Below are 22,292 nucleotides of genomic sequence, written 5' to 3' on the forward strand. Positions count from 1 at the left end.
TATTTAATTAGTTGAGAGCTTTTACATCTATGTTCATGAGGAATATTGGTCTTCTTTTAATGTCTTTATCTGGTTTTGGTAACAGAGTAATACTTGCCTCATAGAATGAGGGAATGGGAAGTGGTCCCTACTTTTCAATTCTCTGGAAGAGTTTGTGTAGATTTACTATTAGGTATTTCTTCAATATTTTATGGAATTCAAGAATTAATTCTTACTAGCTTGGAAAAAAATTGTGTATGGACTGAAAGGATTAGAAAGTATATCCTGTCTAGCTCAGCTCCTAAGCTATCTCAGCCTGTCTTTGTCTTTGGGATGCTTTACAACTCTGTGACTTTTAGAAAATTGATTCTTGTCCGTAGAAGTGCAAACTAATTGTGTCTGGTGGAACACAATTTATTTTTGCCCTGTGGATTGATCTATCTTGCATATATCGTAAAATCATTTTACATTATTGCTTGTTGTTTGAATTTCTTTTGAATTAGTTGTAACATTTTACTGGTTCCCCATTAGATAATGAGCTAAATGAAGTCTCTGACATGAGTACCTTTTATATTTGCAGAGCAATTATAATTTTACCTTTAAAATTATCTTTTGGCTGGACGCAGTGAAATCCCAGCGCCTTGGGAGACTTGAGGTGGGAGGATCACATGAGCCCAGGAATTTGAGGTTACAGTGAGCTAAGATTGCACCACTGCATTCCAGCCTGGGTGACATAGGAATGATGAAAATTCTCAGTACAGGCTTTGTTTATTCTAAGTGTTGTTAGGTTGGTTAGTTGCTAATGACACACAAGGTCATTTATTGTAGATGGCAAAAATGACGATATCCAGAGAAGAGTTATTTTAGAGTTAAGATTAAAGAGAGGACTGAAAATTGTGTTCTCGGCTGGGCGTGGTGGCTCACACCTGTAATCCCAGCACTTTGGGAGGCTGAGGTGGGAGGATCACCTGAGGTCAGGAGTTCGAGACCAGCCTGGCCAACATGGTAAAACCCTGTCTCTACTAAAAATACAAAAATTAGCTGGGTGTGGTGGTGGGCGCCTGTAATCTCAGCTACTGGGGAGGCTGAGGTGGGAGAATCGCTTGAACCCGGGAGGCAGAGGTTGCAGTGAGCTGAGATTGTGCCATTGCACTCCAGCCTGGGCGACAAGAGCAAAACTCTGTTCAAAAAAAAAAAAAAAATTGTTTTCTCATTTTCAAAAAGAGGTATTTGGATAGATACTTTTTTATTTTTTCTTTTGAGATGGAGTCTTGCTCTGTTGCCCAGGCTGGAGTACAGTGGTATGATCTTGGCTCACTGCAACCAACCCCCACCTCTCCCCTGTGTTCAAGCAATTCTCCTGCCTCAGCCTCCTGAGTAGCTGGGACTACAGGTGCATGCTGCCATGCCCAGCTGATTTTTTGTATTTTAGTAGAGATGGGGTTTCACTATGTTGCCCAGGCTGGTCTCGAACTCCTGAGCTAAGACAATCTGCCCGCCTCGGCCTCCCAAAATACTGGGATTATAGGTGTGAGCCACCGTGCGCGGCCGATACTTTTTTTTTTGAGAGAGAGAGAAAGGGATTTGTTCTGTTGTCACCCAGGCTGGTGTGCAGTGGTGCAACCATGACTCAGTGCAGCCTCCGCCTCCTGGGCCCAACCTATCCTCCTACCACAGCCTCCCAAGTAGCTGGGATAACAGGTGCTTGCCACCACACTGGCTATTTTTTTTTTTTTTTTTTGTAGAGATAGGGTCTCCCTATGTTGTCCAGTCTGGTCTTGAACTCTTGGCCTCAAGCAATCCTCCTGCCTCAGCCTCCCAAACTATTGGGATTACAGGTGTAAGCCATCATGACCAGCCTGGATAGATACTTTCTAAGGTCCTTTCCCATTCTAACCATCCAACTCCAATCCACTGATTTCATGATGAATTTATTTTAATTTCCAGAGTTCAGTTTCGTTATTGTGTTTTTGTTTTTCGACAGTTTTGCTCTCATTGCCCGGGGTGGAAAGCAATGATGCGATCTTGGCTCACTGCAACCTCCACTTCCCGGGTTCAAGTGATTCTCCTGCATTAGCCTCCTGAGTTATAGGCATGCACCACCACCATGCAGAGACAGGGCTTCTCCATGTTGGTCAGGCTGGTCTTGAACTCCCGATCTCAGGTGATCTGCCTGCCTCGGCCTCCCAAGGTGCTGGGATTACAGGCGTGAGCCACTGCGCCCAGCCGGCTGGTTTCATTATTTGTTAAACGAGATAGTAACATCTGGCTGGGCGCAGTGGCTCATGCCTGTAATCTCAGCACTTTGGGAAGCTAAGGTGGGTGGATTGCTTGAGCCCAGGAGTTTGAGACCAGCCTGGGCAACATGGAAAAACCCCATCTCTATAAAAAATAAAAAATAATAATTTGCCGGACATGGTGGTGTGCACCTGTAATCTCAGCTACTTGGGAGGCTGAGGTGGGAGGATCACTTGAGGCTGGGAAGTGAACGTTGTTGCAGTGAGCTGAGATTGCACCACTACACTCCAGCCTGGGTGACAGAGCAAGACCCCATCCCCCCCCTCCAAAAAAAAAAGGACAGGAACATCTTCTGTATACATTTCAGATAATCAAATAACATGGAAAGCAAAAATAGATGTTCCTAACTCCAGTTCCCTCATTTGGGCCATAGATTAAATTTTGTCATCCATGTAATCTTCTAGGAAACCTGAATAAGCTGATTTTAATTTAATTTTTTTAACAACTGATAATCAATTTATTAAGACAGTCGACTTAAGCATCTGCAATGATGACTTCCACCTCAACTCCTGGCTCAATACCGATGGAGTCATCTGCTTAGCAATCTCAGAAGGACTGCGCGAGTCAGTGAGTTGCTTGTGGATTCTCATCTGGAAACGATTCCATGTCTTAGAACCTTCACCAAAAGGAGTTTCTCTTGTAGTGGTTCTCAAAGTCTTGGTAGGCATTCCAGTTGGTCCTTTCACTTTGAGATTCTTTTCTTTTGTCCCTCTGATCAAGTGGGCACACACCTTCTCCAGGGATTTTACCTTGCGGCTGGTTAGAGTGGTTCGAATTCGGTGAATTGCCACCTCAGCTCCACGGGTGATTTTACAGTATCTTTAAAAGCCTTGGCTCCTGCGTGGCTTCCTGACCAACTTGTTCCTGGGCAAGAGTAAACAGCGGTGAGTGAGGAGCGGGAGCGGGTGGATCCGAGCTCCTCACCACCTACGACTGCGTCCTCCTCAAAGAGTGAATTTTTTTCTTTTTGTGACAGAGTCTTGTTCTGTTGCCCAGGCTGGAGTGCAGTGGTGCCATCTCAGCTCACTGCAACCTCCGCCTCCTGGGTTTAAGCAATTCTCTTGCCTCAGCCTCCCAAGTAGCTGGGATTACAGGCACACGCCACCACACCCAGCTAATTTTTGTATTTTTGTTTCGCCATGTTGGCCAGGCTGGTCTCAAACTCCTGACTTCAGGTGATCTGCCTGTTTTGGCCTCCCAAAGTGTTGGGATTATAGGCATGAACCACGGTGCCCGGCCTAGTCTATGTTCTTAGTAGCTGAGCATATGTATACATCCTTTGAACCTTTGTGGGCCTGTTTCCTTATATTTTTTTCCCTCTTTATTTATTTTTTGAGACAGAGTCTTGCTCTGTCACCCAGGCTGGAGTGCAGTGGCATGATCTCAGCTTACTGCAACCTCTGCCTCCTGGGTTCAAGCAATTCTGCTGTCTCAGCCTCCCAAGTAGCTGGGATTACAGGTGCCTGCCACCACGCCTGGCTAGTTTTTTTTTGTATTTTTAGTAGAGACAGAGTTTCGCCATTATTGACCAGGCTGGTCTCCAACTCCTGGCCTCAAGTGATCCACCTGCCTTGGCCTCTCAAAGTGCTGAGACTACGGGCATGAGCCACGTACCTGGCCTGTTTCCTTATCCTTAAAATGAAATTAGGTTGGATAATATTTAAGTTCTCTTCTGATCTAAAGTTCAGAAAAAAATTTTATAACGTGAGAGAACAATAGGAAGTATATCATACATTTTCATGTCTATCAATCTATCCACCAATCTTCCATCCCTTTACTCTGTAAATATTTTCTGTGTGCGAGGCGCCGTGCAAGCTACAGAAACAATGTCCAAGATGTAGCCCTGCTTTCAAGGGTGTTATGGAAATCCTTCTCCTGCCAGGGTGTGAGGAGGTGGGGAGAGGGGAGAACTGAGGAGAACTCCTTGAAGGGGCCTTTACTAGCCAGTGCTACAGGAAGCTGCTAATCAATCAGTTAATTAATTAACAATCAGCAAATGGCAGCCAGTGGGGAAGTGTGGCTTAGCTTCCAGATGCTAATTACTGGCCCCTTTATGGAGCCGAGACAGGGCAAATCATTGCAGGATCCCAGATGAGTTGGCACACAGACATTGCGAGGAGGGTGCGATTCTCCTTTGTACCAGCATGCTTGCCAGCTTTTATCTAGTGAGATTAATTAGAACTTTTAGAAGTGCAAGTTAGGGCCATAAAATATTAACATTCATGTCACTGGTAATCTGTGAGTGTACTGAGAGAGCCCGGAGCGATTTTAGGGTATGGTTGCTTGGACGGGGATCTGGAGGTTTAGTTTTCCACTCTTCTCCGGTGAAGGTTTCTCAGTGGCTGCTCAGTGGCTCTGGATCCTCACCAAACTGACCCCTGCCATTGAATGTCCCTTGCCTCTGTGAGTTCATGCATTCATCTCTCTCATCCCTTTCATGCTTCCCAGAAACTCTAATGTCATGTTGGCGCATTTGTTGTACACCTACACGTGGAATCCCGGCTGTGGGTCTCTAGGAAAACGGCCTGGCTCAGTGTTCCAGGTTGTTCCTCCCATCGTTATCATGACCTCTGATGCCCCATCAACAGAAACTCCCGTGACTAAATGCTCCGGGAAGGTGATGCTAATGATGGACTGGTTCATTTGCCTTACTTTTCTTTTCTTTTTCTTTTTTTTTCTTTCAGAATAGCTGGGATTACAGGCGCCTGCCACGACGCCCGGCTAAATTTTGTATTTTTAGTAGAGACAGGGTTTCACCATGTTGGCCAGGCTGGTCTCAAACTCCTGACCTCAGGTGATTCACCTGCCTTGGCTTCCCAAAGTGCTGGGATTTACAGGTGTGAGCCACCGTGCCAGGCCACACCTACAGCACCCAGTATTCCCAGGCAGTCTCCCATCCACGTACTAACCAGGCCTGACCCTGCTTAGCTTCCCAGATCAGACTAGATCGGGTGCATTCAGGGTGGTATGGCGGGAGATTTTTTTTTTTTTTTTTTTGAGATGGAGTCTTATTCCATCACACAGGCTGGAGTGCAGTGGCGCGATCTCAGCTCACTGAAACTTCTGCCTCCCAGGTTCAAGCGATTCTCCTGCCTCAGCCTCCTGAGTAGCTGGGATTACAGGTGCCCACCACCACACCCAGCTAATTTTTGTATTTTTAGTAGAGACGGGGCTTCACCATGTTGGTCAGGCTGGTCTTGGACTCCTGACCTCAAATGATCCACCCGCCTTGGCCTCCCAAAGTGCTGGGCTTACAGGCATGAGCCACCGCGCCCGGCTGCCTTACATATTTACATATTTCCCAAGTGTTCCTAGCTAGGAACTATTGCTGTTACTCAAACTCCTACAGGGAAGGTCAGGGCCTGCTTTGGACAGTTCCAGGGACAGTGACCAGTGCAAATAGTGGGTTGATGCTTCTTTATTTCTTCTTCTCTTTTTTTGAGACAGGGTCTCCCTCTGTTGCGTAGGCTGGAGTGCCGTGGTGCAATCACCGCTCACTGCAGCCTCAACCTCCTGGTTCAGTTGATCCTCCCACCTCAGCCTTCTGAGTAGCTAGGACTACAGGTGCGTGCCACCATATTCAGCTGATTTTTTGTTGTAATTTTTGTGGAGATGGGGTTTTGCCATGTTGCCCAGGCTGGTCTTGAATTTCTGAGCTCAAATGATCCACCTGCCTCAGCCTCCCACAGTGCTGGGATTACCAGTGTGAGCCACTGTGCCTGGCTAGGATAATGTTTCTTCCAATCACAATTGCAATATTATGGATTTTTTTTTTTTTTTTTTTTTGAGACAGAGTCTCATGTTGCCTAGGCTGGAGTGCAGTGGTGCAATCTCAGCTCACTGCAACCTCCGCCTCCTGGGTTCAAGCAATTCTCCTGCTTCAGCCCCCCAAGTAGCTGGGACTACAGGCATGCACCACCACGCCTGGCTAATTTTTGTATTTTTAGTAGAGACGGGGTTTCGCCATGTTGGCCAGGCTCGTCTTGAACTCCTGACCTCAGGTGATCCACCCACCTGGCTCGACCTCCCAAAGTGCTATGATTACAAGCTTGAGCCACCGCGCCCGGCTGCGGTATCATGGATTTACATGAAAAGAAATATACGGTATTAGAACTCTGGGACTTTAAGATGTGCTAGGTAAGATTTCTCAGGTACAGATGAATTGTCTCAGACACAGAACTCTCACAATGCACTGCTGGGGAGACGCAGAAACCCTGAGGTACCCCCTTCCCACATGCTGTCTTCTAAGGAATGACAAGACCTGACCACAACTAGACCCAATAGGCTAACATGACCATTTCAGCTCCATCATGTGAGTGGGCCTTTGTCCCACTGAGGTTTCCCATCACCCTCTGGGTACCTTTCTCCAGTTAAATTTCCATGTTATGAACTCTGCCTTCCCTACCAAGAAGTGTGAATTCACGGCTGGGTGCAGTGGCTCACGCCTGTAATCCCAGCACTTTGGGAGGCCAAGGCAGGATGATCACTTGAGATCAGGAGTTCAAGACCAGCCTGGCCAGCATCGTGAAACCCCGTCCTACTAAAAATACAAATATTAGCTGGGCATGGTGGTGCATGCCTGTAATCCTAGCTACTTGGGAGGCTGAGGCAGGAGAATCACTTGAAACCAGGAGGCAGAGGTTGCAGTGAGCCGAGATTGTGCCACTGCACTCCAGCCTGGGTGACAGAGCAAGACACCTTCTGGAAAAAAAAAAGAAGTGTGAACTCAGACTCCTAGAGACTCCTAGCCTCTCTGCCAGGAGACATGGACACGCTTCCCAGCTCACACCCCTCGGATGCACCTGTGTTAAGCTTTCGCGTGACAGGGACTGGTTGACGGGAGAGGCTCTGTGCACAGATCCTGCTCTGCTGGTACTGCTAGTGGTGGTGACACCTGGCTGCTGGGGGCAGCAGCAGTGGCAAGAGTGAGTCTCTGAGGGCCCATGTTGGGTTCAGCTATGCTTGCAGGAAAGTCACGCCCCTGGGTTCAGGTCTCGGGATAGGCTGTGGCTGTGGCTGTGGCCATGGTCCTGAGAGTTGCCACAGGAAGCTCAGCCTCAACGCCTTTCTTCCGACCCCTCTCAAGGGGGGTTGAGCTTGTGAGTTACCTGAGGTCTTTTTTTTTTTTTTTTTTTTGAGACGGAGTCTCGCTCTGTTGCCCAGGCTGGAGTGCAGTGATCTCGGCTCACTGCAAGCTCCATCTTGCGGGTTCACACCATTCTCCTGCCTCAGCCTCCCAAGTAGCTGGGACTACAGGCGCCCGCCATCACGCCCGGCTAATTTTTTGTACATTTAGTAGAGACGGGGTTTCACCATGTTAGTCAGGATGGTCTCAATCTCCTGACCTCGTGATCCACCCGCCTCGGCCTCCCAAAGTGCTGGGATTACAGGCATGAGCCACCGCGCCCGGCCAACCTGAGATCTTTAGCAAATCTTTTGTGTGTCTGTCTTTTTCTGCTTAAATTAGCCATGGTGAATTCTGTTCTGAGTTTTGTTTTTGGTAACTAAAAATCCTGACCCTTACACATTGGTACCAGGAGTGGTCCCAAGCAACAGACCTTCAGGAAAAGCGGGATATGAAGTTTGTTATCTGAAATGAGTGGGTCTGAACACAGAGAGAATGCATTTCGTGTAGAAGGGTGAGCACCAGGGGCAAAAGTGTCACTTCAGTGAGGACTTTGTCGTGACCTGGACTGTCACATCCATTGAAGGCAAGGCTTTGTGCGGAATGAAAGGGGACAGCCATGGAATGGGATGGAAACAAGAAGGTTAAACTTGGCGCGTTGTTTGGCTGCATTTAGATACACTGGAGGCCCCTGTAGTTCCCGAGCACGATGACTGGGTGTTCACGTGCACGTGTGGGATGTGCCACCCTCTGAACCTTGTTACGATGTTGGCACATTACCCTGGACCTGACCTTGGATAAATAAATAAATAAATAAATAAATAACTACACTGGATGCCAGTTGTGGTGGCTCACACCTGTAATCCCAGCACTTTGGGAGGCCAAGGCAGGCAGATGACTTGAGGTGAGGAGTTTGAGACCAGCCTGGACAACATGGTGAAACCCCGTCTCTACTAAAAATATAAAAATTACCTGGATGTGGTGGCAGGTGCCTGGAATCCCAGCTACTCAGGTGGCTGAGGCAGGAGAATCACTTGAACCCCAGGAGGCGGAGGTTGTAGTGAGGCAGGATCAGACCACTGCACTCCAGGGCGACATAGTGAGACTCTGTCTCAGGAAAAAAAAAAAAAAAAAATTGGCCAGGCATGTTGGCTCACACCTGTAATCCCAGCAATTTGGGAAGCTGAGGCAGGTAGATCACCTGAGGTCAGGAGCTGGAGACCAGCCTGACCAACGTGGTGAAACCCCATCTCTACTAAAAATACAAAGTTAGCCAGGTGTGGTGGCGGGTGCCTGTAATCCCAGCTACTTGGGAGGCTGAAGCAGGAGAATCACTTGAACCTAGGAGGTGGAGGTTGCAGTGAGCCAAGATTGTGCCATTGCACTCCAGCCTGGGTGACAAGAGCAAAACTCCGTCTCAGAAAACGACAACAACAACAACAACACTGGAGACAATAAGTCTTAAGTTTTGGCTTAAGATGTTTTCAAAGAACTGGGGAATTTCTGACTCTTCTGAATGGGAATCTCCAACAATGGCAGTGTGCGGCTGCCGGTCTATGCAGCTTTGGCCACTGGGTACTGTTTACAGTCTGTGACAGGCTATGCACTATTTTGTGAACAGGAGGACTCCCATAAGGAGGACTCCACAGGGTCCAGTGGCTTGGATGGGGCCATGCGGAAAGATCTGGATGACCTGGAGCTTGCTGTATCCCCAACCCACAGAGTGCCCCTTCCAGCAGAAGCTGCCCCCCTTCTGCCTGATGGAGCTTGAAGACCCCATAATAGGCTCACAAGACTGTCACATGTGAGAAGGAGCCAGCTGTCCTCATGCTAAACTCTCACCCCACCTCCTGCCTCCAAGCCAGTGAATGGATTCTAGGCGGTCTTTCACTGAGCTGGTGGTTATTACTTGCCCCCAGAGTCTAACTAATAGATTGCTGCTTTAGGCTCCTGTTGTAACAGGGAGTTCTGCTATCAAAACAGAACAAAATAAAACTGGCTGGGTGCAGTGGCTCACACCTGTAATCCCAGCACTTTGGGAGGCCCAGGCCGGTGGATTATTTGAGGTCAGGATTTCGAGACCATCTTGGCCACATGGCAAAACCTCGTCTCTACTAAAAATACAAAAATTAACTGGGCATGATGGAGCGTGCCTATAATCCCAGCTACTTGGGAGGGTGAGACGGGAGAATTGCTTGAACCCAGGAGGCAGAGGTTGCAGTGAGCCGAGATGGCACCACTACACTCTAGCCTGGACACAGGGTGAGACTCTGTCTCAAAACAAAAAAAGAACACAACCAAACCCAGCCTACTCCCTCTCCGTTGTCACCTCCCTCCGTGGCCCTCCTGGTTTGAATTAGTGACAGTGGTGGAGGGTGGGGCAGAACAATTGGCCACAACAAGAAACAAACCAACCAAAAAGTATGTAGGTGGCTATGAGGCAGTCACTGTGGTGTCCTGCCCAGGGCCCACGCTGGGTAATCATGTTTGTCTGTCTGTTTTCCTTTGCATCTTCAACTAGACGTGGGCGTTCGTTACTCCTGGACAAAACTTCCGTTAGCTCCTTGTCCCCTGTGGCAGGCCGGCCTGCACATGCCTGGGAGGGATTTCTCTTCCCAGGAGCAAATAAGTTTGTCCCTGAGCAGTTTCTGGATTTGTTTATGGAGACTTTAGGGAAGATAAACATGAAAATTTTGATACAAATTTGAAGTCCTGGGAGTTGTGATAATGAGTGTGGCTGTGAATATTGCTTCCAGTTCTGGAAAGACCTGTGCAGCTGCAGCTCTCAGTGGGCTTGTGGGACTGGCCTGGGGACCCAGCCACTCTCAACAAGGTCCCCAGACCAGAATTGCTCTGAAGGTGTCTTTCTTTTGTTTTGTTTTTGTTTTTTTGAGATGGAGTCTCACTCTGTCACCAGGCTGGAGTGCAGTGGTGCGATCTTGGCCCACTGCAACTTCTGCCTCCCGGGTTCAAGCCATTCTCCTGCCTCAGCTTCCCGAGTAGCTGGGATTATTACAGGCACACACCACCACGCCCAGCTAATTTTTGTATTTTTAGTAGAGGTGGGGTTTCACCATGTTAGCCAGCACGGTCTCCATCTCTTGACCTCGTGATCCGCCTGCCTCAGCCTCACAAAGTGCTGGGATTACAGGCGTGAGCCAATGCGCCCGGCTTTTTTTTTTTTTTTTTTTTTTTTGAGACAAAGTCTGAGTCTGTCGCCCAAGCTGGAGTGCAGTGGCATGATCTCGGCTCACTGCAACCTCTGCCTCCCGGGTTCAAGCAATTCTCCTGCCTCAGCCTCCCGAGTAGCTGGGACTACAGGCACATACCGCCATGCCTGGCTAATTTTTGTATTTTTAGTAGAGACGGGGTTTCATTATGTTGACCAGGCTGGTCTCGAACTCCTGATCTCGTGATCCGCCCGCCTTGGCCTCCCAAAGTGCTGGGATTACAGGCGTGAGCCACCGTGCCCAGCGAAACTGTCTTTCAAGATGTTTCTTGGTCTTTAGTGTACGTCTGAATATTCACATAAATGCTTGCTTGAGTGCTTTTAAAAGGGAAAAAACCTTGGAAATAACCTAAATGTCTGCAGCAGGAGAAAGTCTGAATTTATCACGGTACATCTAGAGACAGGAAATCTAGGTGTTAGGTAGATGTCGGAAAGTTGGAGAGCTAAGTTTTGAAAGAGTTTGTCAAAAGCAAAATGGCTCAGAGACGTCACTTTAAATGGCAGCATCATATTTGATTATATGGATACACAGGACTGTAACTTCTTTATCCAGTTTCCTATTGTTAAGTAGTAAAGTTGTCTTCAGTTATATTTGCTATTAGAAATAACTTGATGGTCTTTTTTAATACAAAATTTTCTATTGCTTAAAACTTTCCTTAAAATAGATTCCCAGAAGGGGAATTTCTAGATCAAATGGTTTGGATTTTAAGGATTTCCAAAGTGCTTTTCACATTTGTACTGATTTACTCCCCTGCCACTGTGTATGAAAATTGAATTCTACTCTCCCCAAAATTATTATTATTGTCTTTAATTAGAATGCCTAAAATGCTGTTTCATATTGTTTTAGTTTACATTTCTGGGTTATCACTTTGGCTGACCATTTGTATTTTATTTATATTTTATTTTTGTTTTTTTGAGACAGGGTCTCGCTCTGTCACCCAAGCTGGAGTGCAGTGGCACAATCATGGCTCACTGCAGCCTTGACCTCCTAGGGTCAAGCAATTCTCCTGCCTCAGCCTCCCAAGTAGCTAGGACTACAGGCGTGTACCACCATGCCCGGCTAATTTTTTATTTTTTGTAGAGACAGAGTTTCACCATGTTTGCTGATCTTGAACTCCTGGGCTCAAGCTCAAGCAATCCTCCCACCTCAGCCTCTCAAAGGGCTGAGATTACGGGCATGAGCCACCATGCTCGGCCCAGCTGACCACTTTTAATGGTTTTTAAAGTTACTTGTGTACTTTCTTGGAATTACCTGTTTACACACTGGGCCCATTTTTCTCTTGAGTTTTAGTGTTTTTCCTATTAATTTATACAAACTTTTAACTAGGGCAGTTCATGGTACTGCACACCGCCTACCTGCGGCTGGCCTTTGGAAACCCTTTAGTTCGGTAATAACGAGTGGCCTCTGCCTTGTGCCAAAGAGTTCTTCTGCGAATCCCAAAGTTAACAGCTTATATCTTGTCCAGGCAAAAGGAGACGCGTCCTACGCAGATTGTTTGTATGTAACAAGAGCGTATTTTTAAAACCATGTGAATAACTCACATTACAATTCATTTAAAATATGATCCTCTTGCATGGCTCATTAAGTGAAACCTGAAGGAATCAATATTAGATTTATTTATTTATGTGTTCACTTATTTTGAGACAGACTCTCTCTCTGTTGCCCAGGCTGGAGTGCAGTGGCGCATTCTCGGCTCATTGCAACCTCCCGCTCCTGGGTTCAGGCGATTCTCGTGCCTTAGCCTCCCAAGTAGCTGGGACTACAGATGTGCACCACCACACCCAGCTAACGTTTTTTGTATTTTTAGTAGAGGCAGGGTTTTGCCATGTTGGGCAGGCTGGTCTCGAACTCCTGGCCTCAAGTGATCCGCCCACCTTGGCCTCCCAAGGTGGTGGGATTATAGGTGTGAGCCTCTGTGCCTGGCCAGCTTAGATTTATGTGTATGCGGTGAGTAACCAATCTGTTTTATTTAGACCATGACATTGTAAGTGATTTATTGTCTTTGGAAAGTGACAGTCCCAAAGCTGGCTATATCAATAATTTTGTTAGATTTGACAGCAATAGAATATTTTCAGGATATTTGTTTGTGATAAACCACCAAAAGGGAGGGCAAATAGGAGCCTGGACTGAAGGTCCTGAGTGGGCGCGTGACATCTGGGAGTCCAGCAGCTGCTGCAAGGCATATGATAGCATATGAGTTTTAACTGACCTCCAAGGAAAATTGCATTACTAAGAGGGGAATTTTAAGACAAAAAATAATGTGGTACGGTTAGACGCTGATTCAAAGGACATAAAAATTATTATTATTGTTTTTTGAGACAGAGTCTCACTCTGTCACCCAGGCTGTAGGGCAGTGGTGTGATCTCGGGTCACTACAACCTCTGCCTCCCGGGTTCAAGCGATTCTCCTGCCTCAGTCTCCTGAGTAGCTGGGATTACAGGCGCGCACCACCACGCCCGGCTAATTGTTTTTGTATTTTTAGTAGAGATGGCGTTTCACCATGTTGCTCAGGCTGGCCTCCAACTCCTGACCTCATGATCTGCCCACCTCGGCCTCCCAAAGTGCTGGGATTACAGGTGTGAGCCACCACACACGGCCCATATAAAACTGATTTTTAAGAGAAGCCATAGGAAAACCACAAACTTAGTCTTGAGTAGCAGAGCCTCATTTACTGGCCAGCTCCCAGGAACTAGTCAGAGTTGGTTGGGGACTGGTTCTCTAGTTTTCCTCATGTTTACCTGAGTGAGCTGGCTGTTGCTAGTCGTGCACTAACGGAAGATGCCTTCACACTGCCTTTTGTGACTTTTCCTGTCACCACCCTCTTTGGGCAGATGCAAACCACGCACGCGGCAACTCAGTTTTCATGCAGCCAGCTTTTCTTGCCCCTTTTCTTTCTTGAGTAAATGCTATCCTCCTTTAACTGGGGTAAAAGCCTTTGTAGCCATCCCTAATTCTTTCTCCCGCATTGTACCTCCACGCCATCAGCCTAACAGGAAACGTGTGTCTGCCGTATCCCGCCACTTCTCCCCCCCACGCCGGGGCCGCCTGTCTAAGCCACCAAGGCCGCGCGTCTTCTCTGCAGAAGTTGTCTCCTAACTGGCTCTTCTGTGTCCACTTAGGCCCTGGCAAACAACTCTACGCACAGCAGCCAGAGTGATCTTTCCAGAGCATGAGTCAGGGAATGGCACTGCCCAGGACAAAACTTTCCAATGACTTCCAATGACTTTTATTAAATTAAAAATCAAAATCAAAATCTTTACTACGGTCTCCCAGATAGTCCCAGCCCTGGCGTCTGACTCCCCCTGAATTTGCCTCCCAGCCCTCCCTGTTGCTCCTCGAGTCCCTGCTGCTCCTTGAGCAGGCCAGTCCCCTCCCATCCGAGGGCCTTGCAAATATCTGGGCTTTGCTTGAATGTTCCCTCCTCAGATATGCCTTCCCTCACCACCGCATCTAAAACAGCACCCTCTTCACCACCTGTCACCTCTCTCTTCTTTATTTTTCCTCCTAGCACCTGTCACCACCTGACATTAGATTATGTAATTGTGTGTTAATGTACTTGTTATTATCTGTGTACTCTCCCTACTCCCATCTTGTTCACTGTTATACCCCCACTACCAAGAACAGTATCCGGCCATAGTACATGCTCAGTAAGTTCAATATTAGTTGAATGAATTTTTTCCTTTTTCTTTTTTGAACATAAACTCAAGATTTTATTATGTCTTCATAATAAAACAAAAGATGACACTTAGAACTGGATCACTTGGCCCTTTCTCTTCTTACCTCCTCCCAGTTCAAAATGCTTGCATCTTTTAATAGCCAGCATTCTCTTAGATCTGCAGTTGGGCTCAATGCACTCAAGCCTTAGCACAATCTTCTTTGTAGTTTTAGCCTTTTTCCGGAAAATCGGCTTAGTCTGCCCACTATAGCCACTCGGCTTCCTGTCATAACCCACTCACCCTGGGCATACAGAGAATCCTTGTCCTTCTTGTACTGTGTCACTTTGTGGGGATGGTGTTTGCCACACTTCTTACAGAAAGTCCCGCGGGTTGGCCAGGCATGGTGGCTCACACCCGTAATCCCAGCACTTTGGGAGGCCAAGGTGGGCAGATCATTTGAGGTCAGGAGTTTGAGACCAGCCTGGACAACATGGTGAAACCCCGTCTCTACTAAAAATACAAAAATTAGCCAGGCGTGGTGTTGGGTGCCTGCAATCTCAGCCCCTCAGGAGGCCGAGGCAGAAGAATCGCTTGAACCCAGGAGGTGGACATTGCAGTGAGCTTAGATCTCACCACTGCACTCCAGCCTGGGTGACAGAGTGAGACCCTGTCTCAAAAAACAAGCAAACAAACAAACAAAACAGAGCGAGACTCTCTCAAAAAAAAAAAAAAAAAAAAAAGTCCTGTGGGTTTTAGGAACATTCACCATGTTTGCAGGATCGCTATTGGCACAGAAGGCAATTTTTTTTTCTTAATCTCAAATGCGATAGTAGAATGAATGAATTTTTGAGTCCACTTTTATGTTTTCTACCTTTAAATCTGAGTGGATAGAGACTGTCGCAGCTTTGGAGTGACCTAGGTGATAAGATGGATAATGAGAGAATTTCATTTCAAAGAAAAGCATCCAAATATGGAATGTTGTGGGCAGTGTGTGGGAAGAAAGGTTAAGCAAGACGGCAGAGTTCAAGTGAGTGGGCAGCAAGAGAATCGAGAGGGGAACGTTAACTTGGAGAATTTTGAAACTATGAGCTTTCAATTCTACTTTAGATGATGCCAGAGAAATGAAGCAGATTTAGAAGGTTTCGATCGTTTTGTGGATGTCATTGCTATTGTAGTTATCATTTTCAGCAAGATAATTTGTTAAGTACTTAATTGGTAAACAGAGTTTTCTGGGCAGCTACAAAAAATAAGTCAAACTAATATAGTCAGTAGAATAGCAAGAGGGAGTGGAACTACTAAGTTGAGGGGAAAGGAATAAAGAAAATCAGATCAAAGCAGCAAAACACAGAAGGGGGAAAAAAGCCAAACCATAAAAAGCAAGATAAACAGAATATGAGGATATTAAAAATTAGACCAGCCATATCAAGGATCATTAAAATTTTAAATAGATTAAGTTCTATTAAAGTACAAACAATCTCAGATTGCATTAAAAAGTTATAAGCTTTTTACAAGACATATATCTAAATAGAAAACATGAAGATATTAAAAATTACACCAGCCATATCGAGGAGCATTAAAAATTTAAATAGGCTAAATAAAACAGTTAAATAGACCAAGTTCTATTAAAATACAAAGAAACCTACATTGCGTTTAAAAAGTTATGCTTTTTACATGAAGTACATCCAAAACACAAATTTCACAGCAGGTCTGAAAATATAGGATGGACAAAGAGAAGGAAAAGTAAAGAAAGCAGGACTTGCAGTAGATACAACAAAAAGCATTAATGGGACTAAAATAGATACTTATATTAATAAAAGATATTAATTAAGATATAATTTTTTATGAATTGAGCAATATAGCTTTAAAATAATAAGGTAAACCCTATTGGAAATAATAGAATTTGACAAGGCAATGACAACTAGAGACATGAAATTCTTTAAAAAAAATTAAAAGATCAAGTAAATAAGGAAAAGAAATTGTAAGTTTAATAATACATTTGAAAATACAGATGATAGTTTGAAACAATTTTGTTTGGAAAACATAAATTAATCAAAAATAGAAAAAATTGAGTGGCCAGGCGCGGTGATTCACGCCTGTAATCCCAGCACTTTGGGAGGCTGGGGCAGGCGGATCACGAGGTCAGGAGTTTGAGAGCAGCCTGGCCAACATGGTGAAACCCTGTCTCTACTAAAAATACAAAAATTAGCTGGGCATGGTGGCAGGCGCCTGTAATCCCAACTACTCAGGAGGCTGAGGCAGGAGAATTGCTTGAACCCAGGAGGCAGAGGTTGCAGTGAGCCGAGATCGTGCAATTGCACTCCAGCCTGGGGGACAAGAGTGAGACTTCATCTCAAAAAATAAAAAAAAGAAAAAAAGAAAAAATTGAAATATAGTCAGATTTATTCCCCAAAATATTCCAAGCAAATTTCATGTTTAATAGGTAAATTCTATCGAAACTTCCAAAAAGTTATAGGTAACACACTTTTTTTGTTATTCAACTGCTCCAGAGAATAGAAGAAAAAGTGGAAAGAATTTCAATTCATTCCACAAGGTTAGCATAACCTTGATAGCAAAATTGGGCAAAGATACACTAAAAAGAAAATTATAAACATTGATTTAAAATGCCAGATAATGTATTAGCAAATCAAATCCAGTAATCAATTAAAAATTAATAGGTAGGGAGACATAAAAGTGTGAAATCTACTACAAATGCAGTTTACTATATTAATAGATAAGCGTAGAAAAACAAAATTATTTCAATAGATGCAACAATCAGTCCTAAAAAATTCTTAGTAACCTAGGAATATAAGGGACCAGGTGCAGTGGCTCACGCCTGTAATCCCAGCACTTTAGGAGGCCAAGGCGGGTGGACCACCTGAGGTCAGGAGTTCGAGACCAGCCTGACAATATTGTGAAACGCCCATCTCTACTAAAAATACAAAAATTAGCCAGGCATGGTGGCCGGCACCTGTAATCCCAGCTACTCGGGAGGCTGAGCCAGGAGAATCACTTGAACCCAGGAGGCAGAGGTTGCAATGAGCCAAGATTGAGCCACTGCACTCCAGCCTGGATGACAGAGCAAGACTCCATCTCAAAAAAAAAAAAAAAAAAAAAAAGGAATATAGGGAAACTGCTTCACTTTGATAAAGAAGTAAACAGCAGCAACCACACTTAAAGGTGAAAACACAAGCCATTCTCCTTAAAGTCAAGAATGGGACGAGGATGCTGCATAGCACTACTACTAGTCAGTATCTTACTGTAGGCCCTAGCCACTGCGAGAAATAAGGAGAGCAAAACTAAGTTTATAAAAAGAAATGACAAACTTACTGCTTACAGATGATACAACTGGTTATTTATGAAATCGTAAGAATCAACTAGCCAGGTGCAGTGGCTCACATCCGTAATCCCAGCACTTTGGGAGGCCTAGCGGGCTGACCACTTGAGCCTAGGAGTTTGAGACCAGCCTGGGCAACACAGTTAGACACTGTCTACACACACACACACACACACACACACAAAATTAACTGGGTGTGGTGACGTATGCCTGTAGTCCCAGCTACTCGGGAGGTTGAGGTGGGAGGATCACTTGAGCCCAGGAGGTCAAGGCTGCAGTGAGCCTTGATCATGCCACTGCACTCCAGCCTGGATGACAGAAGAAAAGAAAACAGAATAATTCAACTAAAAACGGAAAATTGTTCATATAAAAAGAGCACAACAGGATAACCAGTTATGAGTAAAACACGAATATATTAATAGCATTGGCAGGCTGGGTGCAGTGGCTCACGCCTCTAATCCCAGCACTTTGGGAGAATGAGACTCTGTCTCAAAAAAAATAGTAATAATAAGGCAATAACGATAAATTAGAAAACTTAATGGCAATAAAATTTTATTTAATAGCAAAACAAAAGCCCACCAAAACCATAAAATATTTAGGACTAGGAATAAGAGTGAATGTGTTATGTTTATTTTCCTTGTTATGTTTATTCTCTAAAACTCAGGAACATGAAGAATGTCTGAATCAATGGAGCTCTGCATTGCTTCCTAGTCAGGGAAGCTCATTCTTATGAAGATGCTAATTCTTTCCAAACTGATCCATAAATTCAATCCGATTTTAAGATGAAATACAACTCATTTAAAATTGTATCTTTATAAGCTGATTTAAAAGTTTATTTGGAGGCTGGGCACAGTGGCTCACGCCTGTAATACCAGTGCTTTGGGAGGCCGAGGCAGGCAGATCACGAGGTTAGGAGTTCAAGACCAGCCTGGCCAACATGGTGAAACCCCATCTCTACTAAAAATACAAAAATTAGCTGGCCATGGTGGTGCGTGCCTGTAATCCCAGCTATTCGGGAGGCTGAGGCAGGAGAACTGCCTGAACTGGGACCTGGGAGGTGGAGGTTGCAGTAAGCCAATATCACGCCACTGCACCAACCTGGGCTACAGAGCAAGACTCTGTCTCAAAAAAACAAAAAACAAAAATGAAACAAAAAAATGGTTTTGGAATAATAGCTTGTGGGAGAAGAGCCAGAGCCAGATATATATATATATATATATATATATAGCTTGAGCCCAGGAGTTCGAGACCAGCCTGTGCAACATGATGAAACTGTCTCTACTAGAAATACAAAAACTGAGGTGGGAGGATCACCTGAGCTTGGGGAGGTCAAGGCTGCAGTGAGCTGCGATCACGCCACTGTACTTCAGCCTCGGCGGCAGAGTGAGACCCCATCTCAAATAAATAAATAAATAAAACTACAAAAATACTAGAAGGAGATGTAAGAGGATGTTTTTGTAATGTTGGTGTGGGGAAGTCTCTCCTATACAAGACATCATCCAGAAGCCATAAAGAAAATATTTTTAGGTTTGGTCACAGAAAAAACTTTAAGTTCTACTCAGTGGGAGATATCATAAGTAGAATTAAAAGATGACCCATCTAGGAAAGGCATATAATGATAAAAATAATAACAAGAGCCAGCATGAATATAGGGGTTATTATGTGCTGGGAATGGTGCTAAGCATTTTACATGCATTATCTAACGGCTACTTGTAGGTATTATTGTTCCATTTTATAGATGGAGAAACTGAGGTCTAGGAAGTTCACATATATGCTAAAAGGGTTAATAGTGTACTGAGCATCTGCTGTTTTGGGTTGTTCAGCATCCCCTTTCCCTAAGAAGAGTCTCCTTTTGGCTTTGGAGCTCAAGAAGAATGGACCTTACCTTTGGGTTGACAAAGCTTGAAGGACTGAGGTGTCCTGTGGTTGCCGATGATTCTGGCTACAGAAGGAAAAGCTAACTGCAGAAGGATGGCATCAAGGCAAACAGAGATGAGGGAAGGTGAAAGGTAAATGGAGAGAAAGGTTTGAGTTATTGTTAGGGTCCCTGGATCCTGTTGCACCTGAGTGTAGATCTACTCTTGGGCTTCCAGTTATGGAGTCAATGAGTTCCCTCTTTTCTCCTTCCTTCCTTCCTTCCTTTCTTTTTCTTTTTTTTTTTTTCTTTTTGGCAGTCTTACTCTGTCACCCAAGCTAGAGTGTAGTGGCAGGATCTCAGTTCCCTGCAACCTCCGTCTCCCATGTTCAAGTGATTCTCCTGCCTCAGCCTCTCTAGTAGCTGGGATTACAGGCCCCTCACCATCACGCCCAGCTAATTTTTGTATTTTTAGTAGAGACAGGGTTTCACCATGTTGGCCAGGCTGGTCTCAAACTTCTGGCCTCAGGTGATCCACCTGCCTTGGCTTCCCAAAGTGCTAGGATTACAGGCATGAGCCACCGTGCCTGGCCAAGTTCCCTCTTAAGCTAATTTGGGTAGTTTATTCAACCCTAAGAACCCCAAACGCCCTGGCTAGGCTGATATAATATTCTCAGCATGTAAAGACTTCAACTACTTCAACTACAGAACAAAGACAGACCAAGATAGCCAATGGGCAAAGCATGTGAGTAGAAACTCAACGAAGAAGCACGAATGGGGGTTAGTTCTGAAGCTCGTCTCTGGGGTCCACGCCTCCCATGTGGAGGACCTGTAGTGTTTTTACCCACTTCTCCTGAGGTCTCCCCACTGCTGAGACGGCATCCACAACCATCTGGGTGTGCAGAGGGTTTTTCTTGAGCTCACTCTGCCCTACTATATGGACCTCTTATTTGGTTCTCTGAAATAATCTTCCTCAGAGAATTAGAAAAGATGAGAAATCGCTAGTGGCATATTGTTTCTGAAATATTAAGGAACTGAGAAAAGATTTCCCCCATCGTGTGGCTTCTGAGAACACCACGTGTGTGGGGGGGCTCAGGTGTGCCATGGGAGGGGTTTTGGTCATTAACCCGCTCCTTCTCCAGGATTCGACTGCTCTCCCACGTGGCTGGCTGCAGGGCCCGTAATGAAGCTGACAGCTCTTCCAGGCACGATTTTTCTTCCTTAAAGCATGGCTTCTTCGGAACAGAACCAATCAGAGTTTTATTTTATTCCGGTTCTGTGAATTGGTTGTGGGATGAAGCTTCTTGGGTGCGGGAGAAAAAGTGCCTGGATGAGGGGTTGAGACAGCACGTCACCACCAAGCATGTGGCATGGTGATAATTCAGTTGCAACCTTAGCGAGGACATACTCTGTGTTCAGCATTGCGGAAGATTCAAAATGAGTCAGAAAGGTCATTCTTGCTGTCCCAAGTACCCTATTAACCCTTTTAGCTCAGTACACTATTAACTCTTTTAGCATATATGTGAACTTCCTAGACCTCAGTTTCTCCATCTATAAAATGGAGCAATAATAATACCTCCTTCAGTACAGTTGAGGAGATAAGATAGGGGACTGGGAGGCAGTGGTGGGCATCTCTGATTCACCCACAGAGGGGATGAGGCTGAAGGTTGGAGAGAGTGAGGCAATAATGGAAGTAAAGACATCAAAAGCATATTTTAGACTCTGGTTCGTTTGGGGCAGGAAGGAAGAAGTTTAAGATGGGTGAGGATGTATTTACATTTGTAGGATACTGATACCAGACTGAATTTAATACAGGTTCACTGTCTCCTTAAACATAATAAGCTGGACAAGAAGCAATAACAATCTGTTAGTAAGGAACACCGTAATTCAAAGTTCTACTGAAAGGAACATGGCACCTTGGAAAACAATTATTCCAAGCACGGGACAGAAGAATGTCAAAGACTAGTAGGGCAACTCAGAAGGGCACATGACCCTTTCCTGCACCCCTTTAAGGCTGATGCAATGCTTTAAGAGGCTAACGCAGAAGGGTGAAGCCAGTCTCCTTAAAACCCAAAGAAGAGATTGTAAAACTTCTCTTTGGATCCTGTCTGGAGTCACAGCTGGAAAAAAAAGGAGCAGGGGTCCTGACAGAACAAATTTGAAAAGGCTATTATTTTATTATTATTATTAATTTTGAGACAGAGTCTCACTCTGTTGTCCAGGCTGGAGTGCAGTGGCGTGATCTTGGCTCACTGCAACCTCCGCTTCCCGGGTTCAAGTGATTCTCCTGCCTCGGCCTCTCGAGTAGATGGAACTACAGGCACACACGCCACCACGCCCCGCTAATTTTTTTGTATTTTTAGTAGAGAGAGGCTTTTGTCATGTTGCCCAGCCTGGTCTCAAACTACTGGCCTCAAGTGATCTGCCCACCTCAGCCTCCCAAAGTGCTGGGGTTACAGGCGCAAGGCATCATGCCCGGTGGAAAAGGCTATCATTGGTTAAACTTGGGTTAACTTTAGCTTTAGAAAGTAGGACTGCAAAGATTGAAACACATCAAACATAGAAAAATCCATGAGTTCGTAATGATATTCCAAAAATATTTTCATAGTTAAAGGTGCTTAAGGAAGCAACTCATTAATTTGATACCAATAAGGGGAAGGAATCAAGTATTTATCCTGCCTTTGCAAACATGACGGGGGAATTCTTCTCTATAGAAGAACTATAGCTAATATATGCCAAAGGAATGAAAACATTAGAATGCTGCCATTTAGTAAACCCTAACAAAATCATTCTAGCCACTGATTATCAATATCTG

General features: G+C 45.1%; 2 non-coding genes and 3 pseudogenes across 2 annotated transcripts, besides 2 other annotated features; 2 read left to right on the forward strand and 3 right to left on the reverse strand.

Annotated features, from left to right (window-relative positions):
- On the reverse strand, positions 2,716 to 3,229 carry RPS20P19 (ribosomal protein S20 pseudogene 19; annotated as a pseudogene).
- On the reverse strand, positions 5,138 to 5,256 carry RNA5SP250 (RNA, 5S ribosomal pseudogene 250; annotated as a pseudogene).
- LOC124901846 (small nucleolar RNA U13) lies at positions 8,088 to 8,195 on the forward strand. Its single transcript, XR_007060680.1, has one exon. It is a non-coding gene; the product is annotated as a small nucleolar RNA U13 (small nucleolar RNA).
- Positions 13,165 to 13,666: an enhancer, noted in NCBI's record as "H3K4me1 hESC enhancer chr7:152298085-152298586 (GRCh37/hg19 assembly coordinates)". NCBI's record gives its function as "activates a minimal SCP1, AML or CMV promoter by ChIP-STARR-seq in naive H9 embryonic stem cells {active_cell/tissue: H9 hESC(naive)}" and the evidence as "EXISTENCE:reporter gene assay evidence [ECO:0000049][PMID:30033119]".
- Positions 13,667 to 14,166: an enhancer, noted in NCBI's record as "H3K4me1 hESC enhancer chr7:152298587-152299086 (GRCh37/hg19 assembly coordinates)". NCBI's record gives its function as "activates a minimal SCP1, AML or CMV promoter by ChIP-STARR-seq in naive H9 embryonic stem cells {active_cell/tissue: H9 hESC(naive)}" and the evidence as "EXISTENCE:reporter gene assay evidence [ECO:0000049][PMID:30033119]".
- On the reverse strand, positions 14,324 to 14,680 carry RPL36AP28 (ribosomal protein L36a pseudogene 28; annotated as a pseudogene).
- LOC124900247 (small nucleolar RNA SNORA26) lies at positions 21,478 to 21,599 on the forward strand. Its single transcript, XR_007060662.1, has one exon. It is a non-coding gene; the product is annotated as a small nucleolar RNA SNORA26 (small nucleolar RNA).
- The last annotated feature ends 693 nt before the right edge of the window (positions 21,600 to 22,292 follow it).

Source organism: Homo sapiens, chromosome 7, assembly GCF_000001405.40.
Source record: "Homo sapiens chromosome 7, GRCh38.p14 Primary Assembly".
In the NCBI taxonomy this organism is placed as follows: domain Eukaryota; kingdom Metazoa; phylum Chordata; class Mammalia; order Primates; family Hominidae; genus Homo; species Homo sapiens.